Here is a 21366-nt window from a genome sequence, read left to right on the forward strand (position 1 = left end):
TGAGAAAGTTGTGTTTTGTCAGTTTTGGCCCTGAGCGGGTGGCAGCATAATGCCACGCTGCTGTAGAAGCAGGGTGCAGCCGTGCAAAACTCAAATGTTTGTTGTTGTTTATTGTTTACAGAGCTGCTTTTTTTTCTCTAGAAGACTAATGAAGGGATGGTGAGTACATTTGCACTGGCTGACTGATTGTAGCAAGCTTAACTTTCAATTGATTGAATGAGGTGAAATAAATCAACAAACTGCCAAGAGAAAATATTCACTAAGATTTTGCCCTTGACATGAAAACATGTGTTCTGAGGTCTCAAACAAAAGTGCCTTCTGTTTATACTGACAATTTATGTTTATAAATTATTCACAGTTGCATAATATCTACACAATTTAAGCATTGAATTATTGCATTTTATATTATACTTATATACAGAATTGAACTACATGATTAATTTTATGGGGTAAAAAATCATTATGATAGACATAAATTCACTTATGAAAGTATATGTGAGAAAATGTAACATCATATACACTTTAATTACGGAAATTAAAAACATAAATTTTGTGAACACTCTAGGGTCGTAAAACACAATACCCTTACCCACAGGGAACTGGCAGATTCATTGCTAGAAGTAAAATTAATATGGCAGAAAAGGACATAAATTTAAAATGAAAAGTTAAAGGATAGAAAATCAACTAAACACTAAATAAAATAAATGAAACATTCATGATGTTCTGAAGGTAGTTTGTTTCAAGCCATGATAAATATTAAAGTAAAGGTTCTTGAAATGAAATATGAAAACCACCTTCCTCAAGAAACTAGACATGGAAAATGTTTCATTGACTGTGAGGCAGCATGATAAGTTTATTTCTATCTAAAGTAAGGATGATGATTAGAGGGCATAGGGAGGTAAAAGGGGCAGAATCACAGTGAAAGGAAAAAATTAAGTGTCATAGGAAATAAAAGAATTTTAGGCATGGACATGCTACCACTTAATGGGTGAAGAAATTAAAGTTCAATTAGCAATTGAGGGCAATGTGGAACTGAGGTGTTCTGAGCCTCAGACAGAGCCCCTTTTATGATCCCATATGACCTCCAATTCTGTTTAGATGTTTTTATCTCCTGGAAGGTATTTTCAGCCTAGGAGGCCTCTGTATTAAGATTGGCTACAGAAAACTTAATGAAGTATGTACAAGTCTGAAAAAATAGTTTGGTTTTGTGCTTGTTTAAGTGGCTGTGAGGATAGAAAGATCTAGGGATCAGGACAGGAAAGGAGGGAAAGCAAAGGAAGAAAGGTAGCATGTGGCGTTAACAGACATGGGGGAAGGTAAGAGAAACCCACAGAAGAAGAGATAGAAGGGAAAATGGCAAGCAGGCAAGCAGAAAGGCTCAGTGAGTTTCAAAGGCACTGTTGATCAGGGCTGATGCTCTGCAGCTTGCATTTATTATGGGCTTATTCTGAAGGCTTGATTAACTTTTGGAACACTATTCACAGCTCTTCAACTGCTCAGGAACTTATGCCTTTGAGCCTGCACTCTTTATCAGGTAACAAGCAGAACATTCTGCCCAGGGAGAATAAAAAATCTTTTAACCATGGTAACAATAATAAGAGCAGATCATTTTTAAGTCTTAAGAAAATCAAATCAACAGGGAATTTTCTCACCCTTATTTTCTCTATCCCTGCTATGAAGAAAGGGCAGTGAATTTCAGTTTGTCTTTTATTGCGGGACTTGTAATCAACACTGGATCTCTTATAATAGAAAGTTCTTGATCAGTGAAGAAGATATTTTGAAAGTTAAGTCTTATGACCTCTCTTCTCTTGAGACACACACCCTACAAAAAGGAAAATTCACTATACACAATGCACATGAAATTATTTAAGACAAATAGTGACCTTACCAGTGACTATGATATAGCATTTCCTTTTTTAATGACTTTTTCAAAATAGCAAGTCACACCATGCCTTTGCCACAAACAAATGAGATATTTGTGTCATTCTGGAGTTAGTTCTCTTCCTGGAAAACCTCTTATCTGATATTATAATCAGTTAAAAAATGATTTATCTTCTTCATGTTAGTATAAAACATGGTGTTCAAAAAGAGTACATTTATTTTATTTTTATTTGTATTCAAATTCAAAATGCATCAGCTCACAGTTTATTTATGTGGACAATTCAATGATTGATTGTTGAGATGACAGTGTACCTACAACTAAGTTATTTAGTGGAGACTCCACATTCAGATTCATCACTGGAATTGCCCCATCTCTAATATTTTCGGCTGTTTTTGCCTCATCCTGATAGTGTTGCTCAATTTTTAACATATATATATAGTTCATCATCACCTGAATATAAAGTTAGGACATGAACATCAGTGGCGCCAAAGACAGATGCTATGAGGTGCCTGTTATGTGTGGGTTGAGGGCTCAGTAGAGAAAAGTTTGGACCCACAATCCCAGGCCTGCCTTTATAATTCAATGGGAAAGACAGAACATATATGTAAAGAGAAAACTTAAAAGCTAGAATTTATTTAATAGACACTAATATAGCTTTAATCTTAGTTTTCTTTCAGTGCTTGGAAACCAAACTTTAGGGAGAAATATGAATATTCTTACTCTATTCAGATATACCTCCTTGTAATGAGCATTTCACATAAACAATCTCATCTAATCATCATAATACTGTACATGAAATAGATACTATTATCTTTATTTTGTAGATTAGAAAATTCAAGCCCAGAGAATTTAAGTTGCTTAGTCAATCATTATAGAGCTTCTTATTTTTGTAAAGATAAGCATTTTTGTCATGTGTGATGAAAATGTGTGTGTATATATATATATATGCTTAAAATATTCCTGTAACTCTGTAGTTGAAAAAACTCCTGCTGCAAGTATATTTATTGGCCACATTTAAAGTACTTCTTATATAGTCCATCTACATTTTTCATTACCTTGACTTATATTCATTCAAGAGAATCTTTCGCCTCCAGAACAATAAATAAATTTAACTTGCAGGATGGAGAAGCCAGAGGCATGCAGAAATTGGTGTGTATCCTAGAAGAGAGTTCTAATTATAAGGACCTCTTAAATCTAATAGTTTTTCCCTTTAGTATAAGCTGTTGACTGTGTGAAACATGATGTTTTACATTAAAGGTGGTATTTTGGATGAATTGCTTGAAGCTCTATGATTTTCTGCAAAAACATTATAGGGGAAGATAACTAAGAAGATGCTTGCTGCTGCAGATCAGAATAACAGATCAATAAGAGGGACTACAAGAGCAGTAATGCTTTAAAGAATTAGCACACAGGAGAAAAGAGCCATGAAGCAGAATACACACACACACACACAACACACACACACACAACACACACACACATTCTGATGTATATTATATACACATAACATATAAACACAGATGCATTTTAAATAATTGATCCCAATAACTCCATTTTTGCATTTTCTGGCCACATATATTACTTTGGTCAGCTCTCTTGTGGAAAATAATTAAAGAATGGATTAACTGTTTAATATTTATTAAACTCCTACACTGTATAAGCACTGTGCTTGGTGATAGGAATGTAATAATAGAGAAGATGTTCTTTGTCCTCAAGAGTTCCCAGCATACTATGGGAAAGGTATGTTGCAATGGTATGGTGGAAGTTTCATGATCCCAGAGTGGGAATATTATGGAGAGCTTTCTCTAGAAGGTGAGGTTTGAGCTGAGTCTTGAAAAGCAAGTACTAGTTAGTCAGAAGGAAACAAGAAAAATGTTTCTAGAACACAGTATGGAAAGGCCAGGAGCTTAAAAGGGAATGTTGTGTGCAGTCTGGGATTGCTGGAATATAATGATGAGGGAAAGATGAAAAGTGAAGGTGGAGAGGAGGCTGGACCTACTAGGACTAACTAGGCTTTAAAGTGCTGGTAGGACTTCAAAAATAAAATTCCAATAATGATGACATTTTGCAGAGTTTAAAGCATGTGAGTGGCAAGGTCAAATTTGTATCTTAGCAGAGCATTCTAATAGCTATGTGGAGAATGGTTTTTAGGTGGACAAAACCCGAGTTTGGGATCCAATTTAAGGCTGTATTAGAAGTGTAGGCAAGGGCTGGGCACGGTGGCTCATGCCTGTAATCCCAGCACTTTGGGAGGCCAAGGCCAGCGGATTGCTTAAGCTTGGGAATTTCAGACCAGCCTGGGAAATATAGTGAGACCCTGTCTCTAAAAAAAAAAAAAAATACAAAAATTAGCCAGGCATGGTGGTGCAAGCCTGTAGTCCTAGCTTCTTGGAAAGCTGAGGTGAGAGGATCACTTGAGCCCAGGAGGCAGAAGTTGCAGTGAGCTGAGATTGTGCAGTGAGCTGAGATTGTGCCTGGGCTACAGAGTGAGACTCTATTTCAAAAAAAAAAAAAAAGAAAGAAAGGAAAAGAAGTCTAGGCAAGTAAGTGATGCTGAGAGTTCGAACCAGCATTGTGGTAATGGGAACCTTGGTAACAGTGTTGGAGGCCTTAAGCAATGGTTAGGAGCTATAATTGGTAAGACTTGGTGCTTATTTGGATGTGGATGGATGGATCAGGATTTCACAGAGTTTTAGTGAGGGTGACCGGGTATGGGGTGGGGAAGGCCGTAAATCTGAGACGGAGAATGATCAGGAACTGGTTGGGCAGACTGGCACCTTGGTCAGTTTAGCTTAAGATGTCTGTGGTTTATCTAGAAGGAGTTGATCAGGGTGAGGTGCAGCGGCTCACCCTGTAATCCCAGTACTTTGGAACGCTGAGGCAGGTGGATTGCTTGCACCTGGGAGGTCAAGACCAGCCTGGGCAACATGGAGAAACCCCATCTCTACAAAAAATATAAGAATTAGCCAGGTGTGGTGGCACGTCCCAGGTACCTGGGAGGCTGAGGTGGGAGGATCATCTGAGCCCAAGAGATCAAGGCTGCAGTGAGCTGTGATGGTGCCACTGCATTCCAGCCTGTGTCACAGAGAGAGACCTGTCTCAAAAAAAAGAGTTGATCAAGCACATGGATCTTTTAGTCTGCAGCTTGAGAAAGAGGTCTCTCATGACATGTTTGGGAGTTGCCAGCCTATAGGTATATATCACTGAATACACAACCTCTTCTGTGTAGTACACTGTGTTGTCTTTTCCCCCTTTCCTATATCCTAAAGCAAAGACACATATCTCCAAAAGTATGTAGACATTAATATTGTACCTTCTGGTTGTATTCAGTCGTTAATATTGTACCTTCTGGTTGTTACAACAGAATGATCCCATAGAACAGAAACACTCTAGGAAAATGCAAGTAACCAAGTGATTGTTGCTTTCTTCCAGCTTTGTCAGTGGAAATGCCTGCCCCAGAGGGATATTGCTTCAGTTGACCTCATTTTTTAAGGACCCTGGCTCTGCGGCTTTGTCCAGTTCAAAATGGCAGAAAAGGCTCCCCCGGGCTTAAACAGGAAGACTTCAAGGTCGACACTTTCCCTTCCTCCAGAGCCTGTGGACATTATCCGGAGCAAAACATGCTCCAGGAGAGTTAAGATCAATGTGGGGGGCCTCAACCACGAAGTCCTGTGGAGAACGCTGGACAGGCTGCCCAGGACGCGCCTGGGGAAGCTTCGAGACTGCAACACACACGAGAGCCTCCTGGAAGTGTGCGACGACTATAATCTGAACGAGAACGAGTATTTCTTTGATCGGCATCCAGGAGCCTTCACTTCCATTTTAAATTTCTACCGGACCGGGAAACTCCATATGATGGAAGAAATGTGTGCACTTTCGTTTGGCCAAGAACTTGATTACTGGGGGATTGATGAGATCTACTTGGAGTCCTGCTGCCAGGCCAGATATCATCAAAAAAAAGAACAAATGAACGAAGAACTGAGGCGAGAGGCAGAGACTATGCGAGAGCGAGAAGGAGAAGAGTTTGATAATACCTGCTGCCCTGATAAAAGGAAGAAACTGTGGGACTTGCTGGAGAAACCTAACTCATCAGTGGCTGCAAAGGTATGAAACCCATAGTATTGCTTGCCTGTGTGTGGTCAGAAAAGATGCTACCTACGTTCTAGAGAGTATAAGTTTTTTTACTGTTTTGGTAACACAGAACAAAGTGTGGCTACACAGACAGTGAAAAAATCCTTTCCAAAATCTTATTTAGTCCAATATAGTCATTCATCCTGGTTAATGACATAAAATGGCATTACCCTTTCATAAATATTATTGTCTGTAGAAAGGGGCCTGGGCAACAGAGGATGAAAGAGAGTCCTGGTTTTCCTGGCGCTGTATCAGGTTGGTGACTTGGAGGTTGAGGAGAAAGCCCTAGCTCAGACCCATCAGGCACTGAGTCTTGTGGAAGACGAGGGCCTGAGCTCCATCTTGAACAAAGGGAAGGTACTGTCACTGGAAGGAGAGGAGGTACCTCTTAGCCTGGCTATGTAGAGGTTCAAGGAAAGAGAGGAGAGCATGGCCCCAGGTAGCTCAGAGGGCAAGTGCCACACACATGAGGAAGGGACTGTTTTATTAAGCTGTGTAAAAAATGAGTCAATGTCCAGAATGCATCCACGTACCTCCCCTTTTGAGGCCTCCTTTAACAGTGCATGTTTCTGACTGTTAATTTTTTTTTTTTTTACAATTGAGGTATTACCATGTATCAGAGTTCATAAAATATTTGCTTAAAATGAAGGTAAATTCATATTTTCCCATTGTGACTGCATATATCTAAATCTCACAGTAAATTTTTTGTCACTAATTCCAGTATGTAATTCAACTGCGTGATTCTGTTTGTCTAATTTTATCTAGAGCTTCCAAGGTTAGCTCAAACCAATTTTCACTCCATATATTTAGTTCTGTATTGCAGTATGAATGATAAGTAAAAATTCAAAAAGCCATCTTTAGCTGCAGGAGTATAGTATTGACATTTTGTGCGTAATGGATGAAAATGGAGTACGGAATGGAGAAGGGAAGAGTGTGTCATCACATGAATTCTTTTGATTTACTGTTTTTTTCTAAAATCTTCTCTCGTGAACAGTAATGATTTCAGAATTTATAATAGAACATATGAGATTTTTGACTGGAAATTAAGATTCTACATGATAATCTATAGCACATAAATAATCAGCTAATGCAAATGATCATAAAACTGCTTTTTGTTTGATTTTCTTTCTGGTTGACTTCTAAAGGCATTTTACTTTCCAGCCAGGACATGCACCTAAGTGAAATAAAATGATATCTGTTGTGTATAACAAAGAAATGCATATTTCGTGGGAAATAGAAGACTTTAGGTTTTTTTGTAGTTTTGGATAAGTTGTTTACTTTCATTTTACTTGTAAAAAAAAAATGTGCCGCATTTGTGGGTTTTGATTGAGAAAGGCTACTGCTCTTTCCAATATCAAGTGTTTAGGTACATACTCGAGTTACTACAAAAAATATGGAGTGAATTTTGAAAATGAATGAGACAGATTCTGGATTTAAGTGAGTATTGTGGGTGTTAAATGAATTCTTTCAAGCCTTTAGGCAACTAAGGAATAAATCATTGTTCCATCAAAATTTCCAGAGAAAGTTAGCCAACTGTATAAAAATAAAGCAATTAAGTCAAAGAAAGTTTGAAAGGTTACTGTGGTTTATTTGTTCATAATGACATTATTAACCTATATCTAAAGTTAAGTATTGTTACAGAAAAAATTTAAGATATATGTATATTTTCCTGAAGAATTTCTCACAAGGATAGAATAAGGTCAACAACCTGATTTCCTACACAAGGGAGTTCATTTAATCTATAAATTTTAGAAGAAATAGCCATTTCTTAATCTCTAAGAGGGTAACTATGACCATGGCTCATTACAATAGACCTTTACATATGTATCCAACATATTATTTAAATTTGCTTCAAATTATGTCTGTATGTATAGACAAGAAATCTGCCTACAAACTCTACCCAGCAGCCAAAGACATTGGTTTTGGAAAATTTTATGTAGTTATAAATGGTATATTTGTTTCCACATTGTTAATCAAGCTAAGTAAATCTTCACTATAAGTTGATTCTTTACTAAATTTCCATACAGGATTTATGTTTATTTATATGTCTACATTTTCCTCTCTGTTTGAATAGTGAAATATTATGGAAAGTATTTACATTTGATTATATAGTAGTTTAGTGAAATTATTGTTCATTTGTCTGAGGTTTAGAGCCTTTTAAAATGGCTCTGTGTGATGTCTTATATAAACCACTACCTTTTCCTGTACTCTTCACGAGTCCTATAACTTGTTTTTTTTTTCTTTCTGGAGTAATTCTTGGTGAGAGAAGTGGTAATTCAGGTATGTGTGGATAGTATTTTCACAACTTAAGAAAAAGTAGTAATATTACAGCTGCAGTAGGGTGATATTCTAGCCCTCACTATTTACTTTATTGTATGGGTACATCAGGCTATTTTCTATGTTGTGAAGCCCTTGTGTAGGAATGCTTGGAACCTTCGTGTTTGTCCTCACTTGCTGAGGAGGTAAGATAGCTTTAAAGCAGAATATCTGTGGACCTTGCCTTTCCAGTTTTTGCTTATTCAGTATGGTAATTTAGTTGAACATATGCTGTATGTGTGCCACACACATTAAAGTAGATACTTAGACACTCCATTCTTTCCAGAATTTAAAAATATTCTTAAAATATTCTCTTATCTTTAACTGGGATTTCATATTATTGAAAATATTCTTGTGTTTTTCTCTTTTGGTTTTTATATAACTTAATAGATTCCTGTAATGAAGAAAGTATAAAAGCTATTAAGATTATTTGCCAGATCCCTAGTATGGAAGGAAAAACTTGACCCTCTCTGTCAGGTGTTGCATAACAGGCTAAAATATCTATTCTTTGATACGAAATAAAATACTCAATAATCAGTTAAGTAATAATTGTTCAGCCCATGCTATATGCATCCCCTATGATATAAAAAATTATTACAAGGTCAACTGACCTATTATTTTTGTCTTTGGGTATTTCTCTGACAATAGCAAGTCAACTCCTATGGAACATGTTCCCTGGTGTCACATAAGGAGCCACTTCTCTTACTTGGATGTTCTGGTGTATTAATAACTGAAAAAAAGCCAAAACAGCATTTAACAATGTGGTATATCTGAAATATTACATTTAACAAATTAACATTTTTGCACATATATAGAAAACCATGAAATATAATCGTACTATTCAAAATATAATGACAGGGCTAATAGAAATACTTATTTCTTAGTTCTCTGGGATATGGTGTGATTTGGCAATGGGACACAGGTTTTTATCTGTATGATGGACTCTGTCATTTTTGACTCTTGTCAGTGTATCTTGGTGACTGTACATGTCCTCATATAGAAATAATTTACACAGTTTAAATTTGAGATGGTTTGTGAATGTGTGGCTCAGCTGAATGGGCCCAGGGCATGACTGGAACAACTCCCTGGGTTACCATGACAGGAATTGCTGGTTTTAGTGTGCCTTTCATAGGATCGTGCAAGGGGAAGAAAAGGGCTCAACTTGCTGCCAGTTTCCTGGGCAAAAATTGGAATTTGACTTGATCCTGTACCTCTTCCAGGCCAGGGCAATTTAGTCAGTCTCTGGACTGGAAACATTTTTCTCTCTTTTCCTTGGCCTCTTCCCAAAGAAACTGCAGTTGCTAGTTCCCTGTAAATATTGCATATAGTGACTTCAGTCTAAGAGGTGTTTAAAAGCATATTTGAGAAATGGGTCTTGTGGCAGGCAATATTCTCAGCCTTCGGGATGAAACAACAATCAGGAAGTAGCACAGCCCACCTGAGATCTGAAAGAAACTAGACTCATCAGTACCACACAGGGCCCACACTTTGGATGTCTTAAGAAGGTCAAGAACAAAGGAAATCAGCTGGGTTTCTGGCAAATCCAGCTACCTGGGTTCATGGCTGAGTCCTCTGAGGGAAGCTTCACTCTAAGAGCATAAGTGGATGTGTGTGCCGGGCAGTGCCAGACAACAGGCTGATCTCAGGTGTCAGGTCAGGAAGCTAGAACATAAGCAGCCCTTATTGGATAAGAACAGCAGGAGGCAAAATCTGCGGAAACACATTTCTATTCATCTGAACCAAACAGTGAGAGCACCCAGCAGCTTTTTCAGGAAAGCATACAGGTCAAGTGGGGCATGGTTTAGGATCTGCTTCCCACTCCTCAATTTCCTCATTAATCTGTAGCCACCACTTCCTCCCTCCCTTTCCCCCACTCCTCTCCCCGCTCCTCCTCTCTCTCTCAGGCTCTCTCTGCGTCTCTCTCTCTCTCTCACACAGACACACACAGACACACACACACACAGGCATATCTTGTGCCCCTCGGGAACTGGTTTTATTTTAGCTTAAGAAAAGGGGGGAATGATTGACTAGAGAAAGATTTCAACACTTTTTTTCATCAATAGCTCCCTAAGGAGAAAAATTAAGTTAAATTGAAAAATGGAGTTCAGAGGGCCACAAATGATGGTACTACGTAAGTTTTTTTATTCCTTCTCACTAGCACCAGTTTTCTCCCCTTGAAAATGCATGGGACGGAGGGAAGGAGATGACCGCGTTTCCTGCCTGCATCTTACTCCCTGCATATATCCACAGGTCCATTGTCGTTGGCATGGTGCAGCGCGGCACCTGAAGGGCCAGGAGACCTTAGCCATCCTTGGATCAAGTCGGGAGCTGCTGGTGGCAGATGGGCAGTCTGTGCTTGGAAATTCAGCTCTCCACAGAGCCAGGGGTCCAAATTATGAGTTTCTTAGATGCTGGTACCTGTTTGGTTGCCCTGTTGATAACTCCTTGAGAACTAGTCCCCTATTCCAACTAAATTAGAGTGTAGGCCTTTCAAGCCACAGAAATAGTAAAAATAAAATAAAACAAAAACTCCTGTGTACTTATCAAGGAAGAAAAAATACATAACATTCTCATTCTATTTATAGTATATGGATCAGTTATTCTAATGCTTTGAATGAAAAATGAAGGAAGGCATTGGAACAGAATCATAAATGATTTTCTTTCAGTTCGAGAACAGAACTTTCACATGTTATGCTTGTAAGGAGATCCAGCCAAGTGAACAGCTTGGGCTGTATAACACTCTTTGTTTAGCTTTCTGATGACCATCTTAGTGGTAAGAAAATATAACAATAGGCATTAAAACCACAAATGAGCCAAAAACATGAAGTGATGCAGTGTGAACAACACAGAAACCCCTCTACACTGAGGCCCTTCTGTGTACCGTGCAGTGCTGTCCTCTACATTGAGGCCCCTCTGTGTGCCGTGCAGTGCTATCCTCTACATTGAGGCCCCTCTGTGTACCACGCAGTGCTATCCTCTACATTGAGGCCCCTCTGTGTACCGTGCAGTGCTCTTCTCTACATTGAGGCCCCTCTGTGTACTGTGCAGTGCTATCCTCTACATTGAGGCCCCTCTGTGTACCATGCAGTGCTCTCCTCTACATTGAGGCCCCTCTGTGTACCGTGCAGTGCTCTCCTCTACATTGAGGCACCTCTGTGTACTACGCAGTACTCTCATTCTTATCTGCAGTGGGCTAATTAGCATGCCAGTCACACTGTTTCTGTATTGGTGGTTTACCATTTTCCTTTCTTTCCCTTTCCTCTCTGCATCCCATCTATACAGATTAAGCAGTTTGTATTCTTCCAACAACATAGCATAAGAGTTCAGAGATGTTAACAGGAGATGATAGAGTTTAAAAGAACTTGGCCAATCTGCAGAGGTTTAGCTTGAAGATTTGCTTTTTCCTTTCTTAAAATGTATCATCCATGAAGACTAACAGGTCATAAACCTGAAAGAAATAAGGCATAAGAAAATAAAACAGTTAAAATAGAAAACACCATTGGGTTTTGGTTTAAATGTCTCAAATATTCTGTTTTTTAGCTGCAGCGATCCTATTTCTAGATCCATGCTTCTCTGCTTTCCCGGAAAGGCTGCCCTGAAAACTCATCACTCTGTTCAGTTGGCCATGTTTGATCATGGGAGAGAAGGGCAAGAAAAGAAGAGGAAGTCATAAAAAGCTCATACCCCCACATCCCATTGTGACCTAGGGTGCCATAGGTTATGGAGATAGTCCTGGCTAATGCCTTTTGTCCCAGTCTAATTATTAATAGCATCTCTTTTTACTCTTCAAAGTGTCCCAGTTTGCACAATGAACTAAGTCATCACCTTGCAAGTGAATATTTTTGAAAAAGTAAATTACCCAAGAATCATGCACTTTTTGGTTCCTCTTTGCTTCTTGGTTGCATCTGAAGAGGGCCAGTCTTAATTTCCAAGCAGTTTTTCCATCTCTTTAGAAAAATCATTAGTTTTCATTAATATTAAAAAACATCAGATTCTTTTCAAGCTTTATTTTTTAAACCTCAATAAATACATTAATTATCATTTTCAACGTTGAAAAAGGAGTTCTTTCTATATTACTTAGTGTTATCACAAAATAGAGTACATCAACAGTATTTACATATTCTGGCTTTGAAAATTTATATACACTGCTTTGATTATTAGTGGGTTTGTTTTCTTTGTTTCAAGTGAGAAAGTTTGTAAAATAAATGATCTACTCTTTTAGGTAAGCGTAAGTGTTATGAAGGAAGGTTGCAATATTTAACACTGTCCACTTTGGAAGACTCTAGAAGGGTTTGAATAATGTTTTTGATTAGGTGTTCTTATCTGAGTTTTATCTATCATTAAAAGGAAGAAGACAAACAAATACTTTCCAAATGCTAAGAGTTTATAGGAAATTTCCCATGGGGCATATACCTGGACTTCAGGTAGCCACCTCATATTGTTTACTTTTAAGCATTTATGTTCTGTAGTGGAACTTCAATCTGAAAGTTCATCTGATAAATACATGAAATTGCTTTGATTCCTCAAGGAGATGGTCGCTCATTGTCTTATCCATGTTTATTTATATTGTTACTATTTAGCTTCTCCCCCACCCCCGCCCCAGCATGTTACAGAGAATCTCATAAGGATTGGTACATTGATATATATGGTATATATTGATATATTAATACTCATACTATTGATTAGCATTGTGATTGTGATATGGTATAGAAACAGCAGTTAGTTATACTGGGACTAAACATGAGAAGATGCTATTTTGAATGCCACTGATATTTTCCTTTTTCTTATCCACTTTTATATTTTATAGACATATTTGGCATATAATATGAAACAAAATATTCTCTTCCCAGAGAACCTATAGGATTGTTTGTTAAGGAATGTTGAATTAGTCAGTTTTATTGAATATTACATATCACATATAAAATATTGAATATTTTATTGAATGCTAAATATTGCATAAATTGAGTCATGGAAACTAAACAGCTTTGGGCACTTTATTAATTTTTAATTCCTCTACATTTCTAGTTTGTTCCACAAAAGAGGCAGTCCACTAGAAATACATACACTAATTATTCAAGTAAAATTTAAAATAATTTAGAGCAAAAAATAGAACTAGAAGAAATGTATTTTAAATCATCACAGTAACTCTAGAGAATGCTTTGTTTTCCACAAAATGTTTCAAATTATTTTAATTAACAAATGACAATCCTATAATTTTTTTAAAGAGTTTGAAATTCATAAACAAAATATGTTCATAATTTTTAAAACTTGCCTTTCTGGCCCTACCTGACATTGCTAACTGATCCCAAGTAAGAGCCATTCCTAACAGAGAGACTCTGTCTGTTTACCCATTTGAATTGATCATTCGGATAAAGGAAGGTGTTTTCCTTTATCATAATTAACAAAATTGATTTGAAAAGAATTGTGATCAAAACATGGTATAGGAAAAAACAAAACAGCTGCTAAAGTACAATTCATGAAATAACCATAGATTACAATAGTTATTTTTGTTTTGAGCATTGACTTAGCATTGGTGGTTTGATTCTATTTGAGAATAACCCCAGAGTTCCATGGCATTCGGTAATCTGTAATGCCCTGAGGCATAAATCTGCATTATGTATAATGTAAGCTTGGTGTGTAGGAGCTAGTGACTTTGAGAGTGAGCGAGCTTAGCTGGTCACCCAATGCTGTCCACTTTACCCAATTTGTTTCTTTCTCCTCATTGTTATTTGCACTAGCTCTCGTTATATGTTACTGTATTTATAAGGGAGATTATGTGGCATAGTAGAGATTTATAAAGCTCTCAGGACACATCCCTCATTGAAAATATTCTATCTCAGTATTCTAAGAGGTGGTAGAAGCTTTTCAAGATAACAGTAAGCTTGGGAATTATTTTTGCCCACTAACAGCCTGTTTGGTCATTAAAATCCTTTCTCCCTCTGCAGCAGGACAGAGAAAGATGAAGGTGACCCCAAGCCACACCAGCAAGCTGTTCCACATAGTATGTGGGCACTAGAGGCAAGTTGCACTTACTGTATCTATCAGCAACATCCAGTTCTTAACCTCCTTTCCCAGTGTCCCCTGGACCGTAGTTGATGATCACTTTAGAGTTTATAAGCAAAACATTGAAGGACTTGAAGAGACTGAGACTTCTCTGCAATTGCTATGTCAGGCTTAACACAAACATAATGAAGCTAGAATAAAACAGCTATTTATGGATGAATGAGGAACAGAGACATGTAGTAACTGGCACAGAGGCAGGAAATAGAAAAATGGAAGAGGAAGACATTTGCTTTCATCTCTCCAAAGTTTTTCCAGGAGATACTAGGAACTAACATCAGAACTATATCAGACTTTGCACCCATATAGTATTTATTTTTGGCTGTGCATATATCTAGGTTTAAGTTAACTCCTTAACTAATGCATAAAATGAATGTATTTTTCCACTTAAATCATCTCCTTTAATGTCTTTACAAAGTTTTAAGTAAAAGAATTCCTCTGGATATTACTAAGGACAGGTACCTGAACCCAACTGATGTTTGTTGTCAAGTTTCTGTGTCTACGGTGGCTGAAGCCAGTAGCAGCAGCCCTCACTGAGTAGTACCCAGACAAAGTCTGTTGTATGTGCCCATGTGTATGTGTGTGTGTATGTGTGTGTGTGTGTGAGAAAGAGATAGAGAGAGAGAGATGTTACTTATATATACTACCACCTCTTCATTAGAGTATGTTCTATTGTAAAGAACCCACCTGCAGAAAAAGCAATGAACTTCAGCATGTATTTGGCAATTTAGAATAGATGCAACTTTGTCATCCAAATAAGACAGTCAGCCCATTCAGAATACAAACTTTTGTGATAACCTGATAGGGCATGAAAATTCATAGGAAGTGCTCTCATGGTCCAAGAATAGAAGGAAGAAATATTTTTATTAGTCTCCCAAGATTTTGTTTCAGGATGCTAGAGGTCATTGCCACCCTAGATTTCACGCTTTAACTTCTCTCTCATTGGGTCACTCGTGATGCAACCCCAAGTGTTGGATGCCACTTTAAATAGCTACTTCAAGCCTACGCCACAGCAGTGCCAAGGACAGCCAAGTCAACCCGGTGCAGCTCCAGATGGGTTTGCTTGGTTGCAGCATCCGTCACTGCAACCAACCTCAGGATATTTGCACAGGAGAGGAAGAACCCTAGCCTTCAAGTCATCGTTTTAGCTTTAATCAATATACTATCTAGAGCTCAATTTGGAATACTGAAGGGCAGTTGTCCTATCTGCTGTCATCTAAGTTAAGTTCTTAACCAAATGGATTCTTCAAATATAGATTTTTTAAAACACTCACATTTTAGTTTGTATCTTAGAATTGCATTTGTATCTGGCAACATTTTGTATAGGACCATCTAACTTGTACATTCATGTCAGAGCATGTAGTTTTATTCAGGATTTGGTTGAATTAAAAAATAAATCAATGACACTCTGAAGAACAGCAACAGAGTCATGCTGTGATAAATTAGATGTATTTCATTAATACAATGGAAATTTACTTTGGGAAACTAGCAGAGGCCCTACATAATATCCCTGTGGTGAACAACCTGTTCTATTTCAGTGCATTTTTTAGTTTAGAGGCAGAAAAACGTTAGTAGGTAATCTTACTTTCTAAAAGGTGATAATTTGCCATACTACAGATGGAATGAACTATGTATGCAGTGAAAATATGAAATAGTAGGCCAGAATCTAGGATAACATGAATTTGCCATTTCATATTTGCTATGTAAAAAAGCTAACACACTTTATTATATTTCTTAAAAGAATTCTGCAGGTGTGAAAATTATTGTGTTATATAAGTAAAGTAATTGCATTATGAGTAATATTAAAATTCAAAGCAAAAAAAATCGGTTTTAAGCCCTGGTCTTTATTTTTCAGACTCTAACTCATGAGCCATTATAAATATTTTAAATTACATGGAATATTTACCAAGTGCTAGTCACACACACCTTTTAAAAATAGTTTTATATACAGATTAGCCTGAGGAAACTTTAAGGCAGTAAACTGTTTTGATAGGCAGATTTTAACAATATACCAAGTGTATTTATGAACTTAAAGAAATAAATATTATAATTGAAAAAAAACTGTTTTGGATTCTTTGTTTACCCATCTTGGTTGAGTTGTTTGGCAAATGCCAAAGCTTTGATGAGCTTTTCTCCCCCGTTGCACTTTGATGCATACATTTAAAAATAAGTGAGCCTGCAGATCAGATGACAGGCCTTTGCTGTTTATCTGACCTGGCTGTGGTGGGGTGGGTGGCCTCATGGTGTACTTTCTGTGCAGAAGAGGTTCTCTAAGGCACCATATTGCCACCAATGGGAACTTGGAAAATATCCAGATGTCATTTTCATTGCAGCACGGCCCAAATAAGGAAATGTCTTTCTTTCTTCCTTCAGCCATGATTTTATTTCTGCCTGAGGAGGTTCTGTTAATCTCTACATACCTGCTTCTTAGCTCCTTTCCCACTGCCTGCTCCGCTCAGAGCCCCACTGAGCCCCTCGAGAGCCCTCCTCACCTAGGACTGTTTGGGTTATACTTTACTGAACAACTGTTGATTTTCTACTGAATTTCTTTGGCTCCAATCAGACTTCATATTTATTTTTCATCTGGTTGTAAATCTTTTCATGAGTTGATGTCTACTTAAATTTTCACAAAATTGAATATTGTAAGAGTCCGAATTGAAGAAGCTAGCTCACCCTCCAAATGGATTTCATTTGGACTTTAATCTATAAAGAAGGTGTGTGTTTTTCTTTATCCTAAAGCATCGGAGGCTAAGACAAGTAGAATTTTCTCTTGTCAACTCTTTAAAATCAGCATCTACATAATACTTTTCCTCTCCCTTTGAGAGAAGCTGATTCTTCACCCACCCTCTGCCCTCCCTTAATCCGTGAACTCGGGCTGTGCAAGTTAAGCTGGTTTTACTTTCCGCTTTCTCGTAATAGCGTCACTATCCCCAGAGCCTTCTATTTGAGCAGAAATTTAACTCTGGGGAAAGAGACTGTTAATTGATACCTAATACAGTAACAGATGCTTTCACAAGGCTGTATTAGCTTCTGTTTTCAAAGTCCTCTGTGAGGTATGGATACAACTTCCTAGTATCATCAGAGTGTTCTTGCAACCCTTACTCTATCTTCTTATTCTGAGACCAATTCTTTTCTAACAATACTGCTTCCTTCCCAGCCTGGGGGAAAAAAAGGAACTTGTTCCCTGCAGTCCAGGGTCATGAAGTGAAAAGCACTTTCTCACATCCCCTCAGTAATTAATATGACTTTCTCAAAACAGCAGGAGGGGAGAGATTTATATTTATATTGAGTGTCTGCTATGTGCCATACACTAAGCTTGTTGATTTTTTGATGTTGACTCCACAACTTTTTCTGTAAAGGGCCAGAGAGTCACTATTTTCTGCTCCATGGGCCATAAGGTTTCTGTTGCAACTACTCAGCTCTGCTGCTGTGGTGAGAAAGCAACCACGGGCACTATGGAAACCAATGGAAGTAGCTGGGTTCCTATAAAGCTTGACAGCAGGTGAATTTAGCCCACAGGCCATAGTTTGCCAACCACTACTTTATATCAATCCTATGAGAACACATCATTAATTGTATTACAGAGATTAGAGAGTTGAAACCCAGAAATATCAAATGTGTGTCGAGTGCCCCACACTAATGCCATATTGATATTCATACCCAGTCTAGCCACAGCCTGGCTTTCTCACAGTTGTATTTCTAGTTGTATTTTTCATTCCTTTCCTATCATTGTCCAATAGTCTCATCACTTCTTGATATTCACTGAAGGCTTTGGTTTATCACTTAAAATCATCTTATACCGTACCCACTTGCTATCCCACAGGACAACAGTGAATCATAAATTCCACCCTAAATATTTCACATTTTGAACTCTGTTAGCATATGGATAAAACTAGTCTGTCTTTGGGATCTTGAATCCTATTTACAACCATGGAGCCCCCTTCCATTTCCCACTAAATCTACATTTTGTCCCTACTGCAAGTTCTCTTACCTTTACTTATCCTATTCCTTTTCTGCTGAGTTAGGACCACTGGATGCACTGCTATGATCTAGACCTTGATCATCTCATGCTTGGACTATTGTTGTAAGTCATGAACTGGGCATTTTCATTTCATTCCTGGCCTCCCCCCTCAATTCTAATCCATTCTCCATTTAGCCAACAGAATTAAAATATGTCTTTCTTGTGGGCCTCTCCTGAATTAAAAACTGCAATGATTCCCCACTGCCTGCGATCTAGTCCAAACTCCTTAGCATTGCATTTATGATCCCTCACAACCCTCCTATATAACCATATGCCTTACCACTTCTCAAACACAGTGCCCCAGGTGTTGCAGACTACCAACCATTCCTGAAGACAGGGCTCTGGTCTAGACAGGTTGTTCACTGAACTCAACAGAGTATTTCCACATGGCTATATCCATCCAGAAGGAACATCATTTTTTTCTAGTTTGCTCAAATGTGCCTCATATACGAGCTGCAGCCACACCTGCACGTACCTGGCACAGTCACACACCTATGGCCACCACTACTTCCTTCTCTGTCCTTCTTTCTGTCTCAGCTCATATGTCACGCTCCTGTGAGGTCTGCCTGATTCTCTCTCTAACCTGTTTTCCCCTAGTTCTCTCTTCATCCTTGTAATCTCATGATTTTGACTGTGCTGTGTTCAACTGCTCAGCTAGGTTGCAGCACTTGAAGAATCCGAACTGTTTCTTATCTTCAATTACTGATACCTAGCATAGCTCCTGACACATAAAGAACACTGACTGTGCCTCCAAATGACACAGGAGGGCAGGAATAACAGCAAAACTAAATGTTTCACAGTATTCCTATTTCTCTGTGAGGACTAAATAGCATAGATAGAGGTTGGGTATCTGATTCTAGCGATTAGACCTGAGTAATGCTGGGTTTGTTTTCAACAGTTTAAGAAAGCCGGATGTCTTCCTGGTTTTAAATGGTTGTACGTTTTCGATATAGGCTGAGAACCACAGATGTGGGTTTTACATTTTTACATTGTATAAACTCTCCATCTAAAATAGCAGTGTAGGCTGCTCTGTATGCTACAGGGTTTATGCAAAGAAAGGAATCAGGTGCTTCTGACAGGCAGGTTTGCAGATGCTTTGCTTTGCTTTGCTAGGGTTGCTCATTTGGTTATCGGAACTGTGGGCTCTGGGAACTCTTGTCATAGGTAAAGTGTAGCCTTTGTGTGGAGGAGAGCTTGATCTGACCCCCAGGGGATAGGCAGCCCTTCTACCACTGATGGCAGATGGATAGATCATTTATTTAGGTTCAACCATCCACCCTTTACAGGTCCTAGGCCCCAAGTGGAGTTTGTGAAGCAGGTTCAAGTGCATTGGTTACCAACTCGTCTGAGTCTAATGAGACACAACACCCCCACATATAAGTTACATGAAGCAGACTTATTACTTACAGATAGGCAGCAAGGGACAATAGAAACCTAGAAGTCAGGGCAAGCTGCATCCCCCAAGGCTCAGGAAAGCTGCCCAGGGCAGATGGAATCTTATCTGCATGTGCCCTACTTGCACTGCAGCAGAGGGACCGCAGAAGGCATCCTGTTCAGGGCTTTAAGGAACTAAAGCATTGGAAGGCATCCCATTTCTACGGGAGATTGGAATAGAGCCCTGGCTGTTCTGGCCAGTCCCTGTCTCAGATGTTGCACTTCCAGCACATTCTACAGTTATTCTAGAGAGCTACAAGCAAGAAAGAGGGGAGTCTGTGTTGGTACAAGGCCACCTGGGGAGCTGTCCCTCAGAGCTATCCCAGTACTCAGGAGAAGTTACAAATGTGGATAAGTCCAGAGTTTGAATCAAGATAGACCTCCAAGATAATGTCTTTTTGTGAGGATTTGAAGATAGTCTGAAACAAATAAGTTCTTTTTAAAACTTGTACGATTTTAGAGACAAGATCTTGCTCTTTTCCTCAGGCTACAGTGCAGTGATGCCATCATAGCTCACCGTAACCTCAAACTCCTGGGCTCAAGCAATTCTCCTGCCTCAGCCTCCTGAGTAGCTGGGACTATAGATGAGCACCACCACACCCAACTAATTTTTAAAAAATTATTTTTTTTGTAGAGACGAGGTCTTGGGATGTTGCCAGCCTGGTCTCAAACTCCTGGCCTCAAGCAAGCCTGCCATGTAGGCTTCCCAAAATGCTGGGATTACAGGCATGAGCCACCATGCCCGGCTTTGAAAAAATACATTCTTAATGATGTAATGTGAAAAGGGGAAATCAAGAATCTTTATTTTTACTACAAAACGTAAAAGAATAATAATGGTATCAGCTTAGGGGAACTGACTTTCATTGTAATCCAAAAAAAAAAATTTTTGGAAACTCCTAAGTTCAGGATTTAGATAAATATTAGGCATTCCTTTTTCTTTCAAAAATGCTTTTTATCAGCATGCTACTTGGTGATAAAGAATGTTCAATTCAAATATTATTCTGGTATTTCAGACCTTACTGATGGGATTCTCTAATTTAGCTTTTCAGAAAGAGCCTTAATCAGTCCCTTTTAAATTCTGACTTGTTTCAATTTAATAATTCATAAAATTATTGTTTGAAGAGTTATTTTGTGCATTAGAAATCTTTAAGCCTTATATACATCTTCTAAGAATTTTAATGAGATAATTGCTAAGAGTAAAATTGTATCCACTTGTTTAAACCTTCCACATGATATCTGTTTTTGAGTTTTTAGTAGATTGCATTATAAATTAATTCTTTCAAAATTCTGTGGCAAAAAAAAAACAAAAAAAAACCTGTCACATTATTTTCAGTTCTGCTGTTAATTATTTGTGCACTGAAGTGGAAACACACTTCAACCTGTAGGGCTGTGTAGCCTCTTAGCAGGGCTTTTGCCTTTTTTCCCTGAAAGATCATGGGAAGCCTGGGCGAGTTCTGAGCAGTAGTGATCTGACTCACATGGCACCAGGCTCCCCTCAGCTCCTGCATTGAAAATAGAAAAT

The 21366-nt window shown here is 38.3% G+C and overlaps 1 protein-coding gene across 1 annotated transcript in view; it reads left to right on the forward strand.

Moving 5' to 3' along the window:
- Positions 1-21366, forward strand: part of KCNB2 (potassium voltage-gated channel subfamily B member 2) — a 401125-nt gene that overhangs the window by 25103 nt on the left and 354656 nt on the right. The window contains exon 2 of the mRNA NM_004770.3: positions 5315-5986. Coding sequence (NP_004761.2) covers positions 5408-5986 — 579 coding nt within the window. The 5' untranslated portion in view covers positions 5315-5407. The remainder of the gene's footprint in view (positions 1-5314; positions 5987-21366) is intronic.

Source organism: Homo sapiens, chromosome 8, assembly GCF_000001405.40.
Source record: "Homo sapiens chromosome 8, GRCh38.p14 Primary Assembly".
Lineage (NCBI taxonomy): Eukaryota > Metazoa > Chordata > Mammalia > Primates > Hominidae > Homo > Homo sapiens.